Consider the following 8142-nt stretch of genomic DNA (forward strand, 5'->3'; position numbering starts at 1 on the left):
GAAAAATAAATTCTTTTACAGACAAGCAAATGCTGAGAGATTTTGACACCACCAGGCCTGTTTTACAAGAGCTCCTGAAGGAAGCAGTAAACATGGAAAGGAAAAACCAGTAGCAGCCACTGCAAAAACATACCAAATTGTAAAGACCATTGACACTATAAGAAACTGCATCAACTAACGGTCAAAACAACCAGCTAGGATCATAATGACAGGATCAAAATTCACACATAACAATATTAACCTTAAATGTCAATGGGCTAAGTGCCCCAATTAAAAGACACAAACTGGCAAATTGGATAAAGAGTCAAGACCCACTGGTGTGCTGTATTCAGGAGACCCATCTCATGTGTAAAGACACACATGGGCTCAAAATAAAAGGATGGAGGAATATTCACCAAAGAAATGGAAAACAAAACAAAAAAAAATTAGGGGTTGCAATCCTAGTCTTTGATATAACAGACTTTAAACCAACAAAGATCAAAAAAAGACAAAGAAGGGCATTACATAATGGCACAGGGATCAATGAAACAAGAAGAGTTAACTATCCTAAATATATATGCACCCAGTACAGGAGCACCCAGATTCATAAAGCAAGTTCTTAGAGACCTACAATGAGACTTAGACTCCCACACAATAATAGTGGCAGACATTAACACCTCACTGTCAATATTAGACAGATCAACGACACAGAAAATTAACAAGGATATTCAGGACTTGAACTCAGCTCTGGACCAAGTGGACCTAATCGACATCTACAGAACTCTCCACCCCAAATCAACAGAATATACATTCTTCTTACACCACATCACACTTATTCTAAAATTGACCACGTAATTGGAAGTAAAACACTCCTCAGCAAATGCAAAGGAACAGAAATCATAACAAACAGTTTCTCAGACCACAGTACAATCAAATTAGAATTCAGGATTAAGGAACTCACTCAAAACTGCATAACCACATGGAAACTGAATGATTACTGGTAATAACGAATTAAGGCAGAAATAAATAAGTTCTTAGAAACCAATGAGAATAAAGACACAACATACCAGAATCTCTGGGACACAGCTAAAGCATTATTTAGAGGGAAATTTATAGCACTAAATGCCCACAGGAGAAAGTGGGAAAGATCTAAAATCAACACCCTAACATCACAGTTAAAAGAACTAGAGAAGCAAGAGCAAATAAATTCAAAAGCTAGTAGAAGACAAGAAATAACTAAGATCAGAGCAGAACTGAAAGAGATAAAAACACGAAAAACACTTCAAAAAAATCAATGAATCCAGGAGCTGCTTTTTTTTGAAAAGATTAACAAAATAGATAGACTACTAACCAGACTAACAACAACAAAAAAAAGGCAGAAGAATAAAATAGGCACAATAAAAAATGATAAAGGAGATATCACCACTGATCCCAAGGAAATACAAACTACCTTCAGAGAATACTATAAACACCTCTATGCAAATAAACTAGAAAATCTAGAAGAAATGAATTCCTGGACACATACACCCTCCTAAGACTAAACCAGGAAGAAGTCAAATCCCTGAATAGACCAATAACAAATTTTAAAATTGAGGCAGTAACTAATAGCCTACCAACCAAAAAAAGCCCAGGACCAGATGGATTTGGCCAAAACAATCATAAGCAAATAGAAGAAAGCTGGAGGCATCATGCTGCCTGACTTCAAACTATACTATAATGCTATAGTAACCACAGCAGCATGGTACTGGCATCAAAACAGATATATAGACCAATGGAACAGAACAGAGCCCTCAGAAATAATGCCACACATCTACAACCATCTGATCTTTGACAAACCTGAGAAAAAACAAGCAATGGGGAAAGGATTCCCCATTTAATAAATGGTGCTGGGAAAACTGGCTAGCCATATGCAGAAAACTGAAACTGGACCCCTTCCTTACACTTACACAAAAATTAACTCAAGATGGATTAAAGACTTAAATATAAGACCTAAAACCATAAAAACCCTAGAAGAAAACCTAGGCAATACCATTCAGGACACAGGCATGGGCAAAGACTTCATGACTAAAACACCAAAAGCAATGGCAACAAAAGCCAAAATTGACAAATGGGATCAAATTAAACTAAACAGCTTCTGCACAGCAAAAGAACTGTCATCAGAGTGAACAGGCAGCCTACAGAATGGGAGAAAATTTTTGCAATCTATCCATCTGACAAAGGGCTAATATCCAGAATTTTCAAAGAACTTAAACAAATTTACAAGGAAAAATCAGACCACCCCATCAAAAAGTGGGCAAAGGATATGAACAGACACTTCTCAAGAGGAGACATTTATGCGGCCGACAAACATGAAAAAAAGCTCATCATCACTGGTCATTAGAGAAATGCAAGTCAGAACCACAATGAGACACCATCTCACACCATTTAGAACAGTGATCATTAAAAAGTCAGGAAACAACAGATTCTGGGGAGGATGTCGAGAAATAGGAACACTTTTACATTGTTGGTGGGAGTGTAAATTAGTTCAACTATTGTGGAAGACAGTGTAGCGATTCATCAGGGATCTAGAACCAGAAATACCATTTGACCCAGCAATTCCATTACTGGGTATATATCCAAAGGATTATAAATCATTCTATTATAAAGACACATGTACATGTATGTTTATTGTGGCACTGTTTACAATAGCAAAGACTTGGAACCAACCCAAATGCCCATCAATGATAGACTGGATAAAGAAAATGTGGTACATATACACCATGGAATATTATGCAGCCATAAAAAAGATGAGTTCATGTCCTTTGCAGGGACATGGACGAAGCTGGAAACCATCATTCTCAGCAAACTAACAAAGGAACAGAAAGCCAAACACCACATGTTCTCACTTATAAGTGGGAGTTGAACAATAAGAACACCTGGACACAGGGAGGGGAACATCACTCACCAGGGCCTGTCATGGGGTGAGGGGTTAGGGGAGGGATAACATTAAGAGAAATACCTAATGTAGATGATGGGTTGATCGGTGCAGCAAACCACCATGGCACCTGTTTACTTCGGTAACAAAGCTGCACATTCTGTACATGTATCCCAGAACTTAATGTATAATAATAATAAAAAGAACTTTGAACCTAGAATTTTTATCTAGCCAAATTTTTATTCAAATATGAGGGAATAATAAAAATATTTTCCCAAATATTAGGCCTTAGGGGGTTTTGTACATAAGACTCTACATTGAAAACCCAACAAGGAGTACCAAATTAGAAGAGAAGCAAATCCAAACAAGGGTGCCAAGAATATAGCAAGCTCAAATGATCAACTTTCTTTCCTAAATGTATTGATGACTTCACAGTAAAATTAAATATAATTTTAGGAATAAAGGAAATAAAAAGTGAAATTATATTTATCATAACCCATAACTAAGCTTATAGCCTAAATTAACATAATGGAGATGAGAGGAAACTAAATTAACTATAGAGCATGCTGAACTTCTTTTATTCTGGAGAAATTATAAATATTAATATCTTTAAGATACAAAAAAAGAGCAAATAAACATGAGAATAGTTATTAAGGTAAAAAAACTATAGAACATTAAAAGAATTACAACTTTTAAGACAATATAGAGCGGAAAACACTGTCCAATGGAAAGCACCTAATGGAGACAGTAAAAACAAAAGAAAATCTATAGTATAATCTGATTTTAGACATATTGCAGATGCTCATCCGTCAGTGTAAATTTATTAGATTTCGTCCAACTCCAAAAAAATTAAATTACCTCTTCTTTCAGACACTAGTTTACCATACGCAGAATTGTTCAATACCAAGAGCTTAATATTTTGTTGAACTCTTTATGCTCTGCAATAAAACAATTTTAGCGCATAATCAGCTGGTATCCAAATTATAGCACCCATAATTTGTCTGTAATTTGATCCTGCTCCAAGCAGTGTGTTATGGTCTGGTCATAGATAAACAAAGAGATATATACATATGCCATGTTTTGTGTGTTTGTTCGTGTGTACTTAACAAAGATGAATAGAATTTTAATACTTAAAGTCAGCTTGCTGAAAAGAAAGAAGAAAAAGCCTTAAAATAATCTGTCAGCTACCCCCCTTTTGGGCACCAGAGGGAGACCACGATTCAGTTTTACTCAACTGAAAATAAGTGCAACTTAAAAATAGTAGACTTGTTTTTCCATTATTCATACTCTGAACCAATATTTTCTTTCAAAGGAATTGCTGTCCTTTTACTTAGTCCAGAGGCTCTGAAAGTCTAGGCATGTTTGAGAGGATTAATCTGTGTCGGAGGATATAATGGAAGCTAACAAAGTTAACATTTTTTTCGTATGTTGATTAGGCACCAGAGATGCTAAATTAGTATACTCTAGCTAGAGTCCTGCTAAACTTATAGCAGTGGAAGTGCTATCTGGCTACCTGAGCTACACAGACCACCTACTCAGTACCCATACCACCCAGACAGACACACACATGTATAAATACAGATGTACACACACAGAGACACACATAAATGCAGACACGCACACACACACACACAAAATTATTGCTGTTGGTGGTTGAACCTGGATTTAGTGAGACAGCCAGTAGTAAATGAAGATTTGGTTTTCCCAGTTACTGCCCAAAAAATGCTGTTTCAGTTCAACATCTATCCGATTTTAGCAATATTAAAAAAAAAAACCCAGAAAAGCAATGACTAATTGTTTTTATTTAAATAAGGATTTTATAATTGTAAAATGATTTTGTCCCTAATTGAGTGTATAATTTGATCATCTAAATGTAGCCATGTGTAGAAAATAAAGAGCATCAGAAAGCCAAAAAGAAACATTCATAACTTTCAAATTAAAAATATAAATTATAATTCAGTTTGGGTATATCACTTCATACAATAAAACTGATCTCTCAGAAAGGTACAGGGAGTCTTTGCTCCTTTTACTGATAAGATACCTTGGGACCCATAAAAGTTTAACTGCAGTTAGGTGAGATATCTGTAATGGGGCAATACTAGAGGAGAGACTCAGCCTCCAGTGATAAAAATAAGCCCAGCTCAGAAGGCAGAAAGTACAGAGGGAGGGTACAAAAGGGTGGACCAGTATGTGAGTGGGCATGGTATTAGCTGGTAGGGAGGTAAGCAGGTTAAAAAATAAGACAATACTCGTTGACTACATTGACTAGCTTCTCTGGGTCTCAGCCAAAATAATTATGTCAACATATCATCTTAAAACTATGTATGAGTACTCAGGAGGTGGAGCAAGATGGTAGAATAGAAGGCTCTGCCAATTAGATTCCCCCACCACCAGCAAGGACGCCAAATTAACAATCATCTACACAAAAAAACACCTGCGTAAAACCCAAAGATCAGGTGAGCACTCATAGTACCTGGTTTTAACTTCATATCACTAAAAGATGAACTGAAGAGATAGAGAAAACAGTCCTGAATCGCTGAGGCTACCCTTCCCCACCCCCCCACCCGCAGCAGCAGTGGCCTGGTATGTAAAGCATCTCTGAGTGCTGGGGGAGAGAAAACACAGCAATTGTGTGGCATTGAATTTGGTGCTGTCCTGTTAGAGCAGAAAGGAAAACCAAACCAAACTCAGCTGAAATCTGTTCGTGGAGGGAGCATTTAAACCAGCCATAGCCAGAGGGGAATCACAGATCCCAGTGGTCTGAACTTGAGTGTCTGCAAACCTAACCATAGAGGACTACAGTGCTCTGTGTCTTCAAGTAGATTTGAAAGGCAGTCTAGGCTATAAAACTGCAATGCTTAGGTGAGACCTAGTGCTAAATTAAGCTCAGAGACAGCGAACTCGGTAGGACATTTGACACACTGAGACACCAGCTGGGGCAGCCAAGGAAGTGCTGGCATCACACCTCCCCTAACCCCAGGCCACACAGCTCATAGCTCCAAAAGAGACCTCTTTCTTCCACATGATTAAAAGAGAGGGAAGAGTGCGGAAGACTGTCCTGCATCTTGGATACCAGCTTAGCCATGGTAAAATAGGGCACTGGACAAAGTTACGAGGCTCCCATTCTAGGCTATAGCTTCCAGATGACATTTCTAGACACATCTGAACTTGAAGGGAGCCTACTGCCTTGAAGAAAAGGACCCAGTCCTGGCAGCATTCATCACCTGCTAACTAAAAGCTCTTGGACCCTGAAAAACCAGCAACGATACTCGGATACTACATTTTGGGCCTTGGTGATAATCTGAGACTTACTGGCTTGAGGTGAGACTCAACACATTACCAGCTGAGGTGGCTATGGAGCAAAACTCATTTTTCTTGAGAAAAGCAGAGGGAAAAGTAAAGGGGACCTAGTCTTGCAGCTTAGGTACCAGCATGTCCAAAGGTGGCCAGAGCACCAAGTTAGTTCTTGGGGGTCCCTGATTCCAGGACATGATTCTTCGATGGCATTTTTGGACATGATCTGGGCCAGAGGGTAGCCCACTGACCTGAAAGGTGAGTCCCAGGACAGTCAGCATTCACCACAGGCTGACTTAAAAGCCCTTGGGGCTTAAGGGAACATTGGCTGGTAGTCTAGCAGTACTCCATGTAGCCTGGGCTCATGATGGCTATAGTGAGGATCCTCTGCCACTGGAAAGGGAAGGGAAGAGTGGAAAAGGCTGCATCTTGTGGTTTAAGTGTCAGCTCAGCTGCAATATAATAGAACGCCAGTTAGACTTTTAAGGTTTTGACTCTAGTTTCTGACTCATGGACATCACCTCTGGACCCACCTAGGGTCTGGTGGATCTCTCTTCCCCAAAGGGAAGGACACAGGCCTGACTGGCTTTACCACCTGCTGATTGTGGAGCCCCAGCGCCTTGAGAAAATATAGGCAGTAGCTAGGGAGTGGTTACAGCAGGCCTTGGGCAAGACCCAGCACTGTGCTGGCTTCAGGTCCCAGCATAGTCATAGTGGTGGTGGCTGTAGAAGTGCTTGTATAACTCTGCCTTGAGCTTTAGGTGGCTCAGAACAGAGAGAGAAATTCTGTTTGGGAGAAAGGAAAGAGAGAAAACAAGAGTCTCTGCCTGGTAATCCAGATAATTCTCCTCGATCTGGTCCATGACCATCAAGGTGGTACCTTCACGAATCTGCAAGAACCACAGTGTTACTGAGCTTAGGGTACTCCCTAAAGAAGGTAGAGCTTAGGTCACAACACCCAGGTCCTTTCAAATGTCTAGAAAGTCTTGCTAGGAAGGACAGGTACAAATAAGCCCAGACAGTGAATACTAAAATAAATAATTAATTCTTCCATACTCAGACACCAAAGAACATCAACTAGCATCAACACGATCCAGGAAAACAAGACCTCATCAAATGAACTAAATAATGCACCAGGGACCAATCCTGGAGAAACAGGCATATGGGGACGTTCAGACAGAGAACCCCAAAAAACTGTGTTTAGCAATCTCAAAGAAATTCAAGATAACACAGAGAAAGAATTCAGAATTCTATCAGAATAATTTAACAAAGAGATTGAAAAAATTAGAATCAAGTGAAAGTTCTGGAGGTGGAAAATGTAATTGGCATACTGAAGAATGCATCAGAGTCATTTATTTTTTAGAGACGGGGTCTCGCTATGTTTGCCCAGGCTGGAGTGCAGTGGCTATTTACAGGCATGATTCCACTACTGATCAGCATGGTAGTTTTGGCTTGCTTCGCTTCTGACCTGGGCCAGTTCACCCGTCGTTAGACAACCTGGTGGTCCCGCACTCCTGGGAGGTCACCATACTGATGCCGAACTTAGTGCGGACACCTGATCAGCATAGTGCAATATAGTCCAGAACTCTTGGACTCAAGCAATCCTTCTTCCTCAGCCTCCCAAGTAGCTGAGACTACAGGCATGCACTACTGCACCCCATGCATGAGCCCTTTAATTGCAGAATTAATCAAGCAGAAGAAAGAATTAGTGAGCTTAAAGACATGCTATTTGGAAATATACAGAGGAAACGAAAGAAAAAGGAAGGAAAAACAATAAAGCACACCTACAGAATGTAGAAAACAGCCTCAAAAGGTCAAATCTAAAAGTTATTCGTTTTAAAGAGGAGGTAGAGAAAAAGATAGGGGTAGAAAGTTTATTCAAAGGGATAAAGAGGATCGAGCAAGATGGCCAACTAGACGCAGTCAGGTGGAACATTTGCTATGAGGGACCGAGA

At 39.5% G+C, this 8142-nt stretch overlaps 1 pseudogene; it reads right to left on the minus strand.

The window, feature by feature from the left end:
• Window positions 7549-7845, minus strand: RN7SL712P (RNA, 7SL, cytoplasmic 712, pseudogene; annotated as a pseudogene).

The sequence above is a fragment of the Homo sapiens genome, chromosome X (assembly GCF_000001405.40).
Source record: "Homo sapiens chromosome X, GRCh38.p14 Primary Assembly".
NCBI lineage: Eukaryota > Metazoa > Chordata > Mammalia > Primates > Hominidae > Homo > Homo sapiens.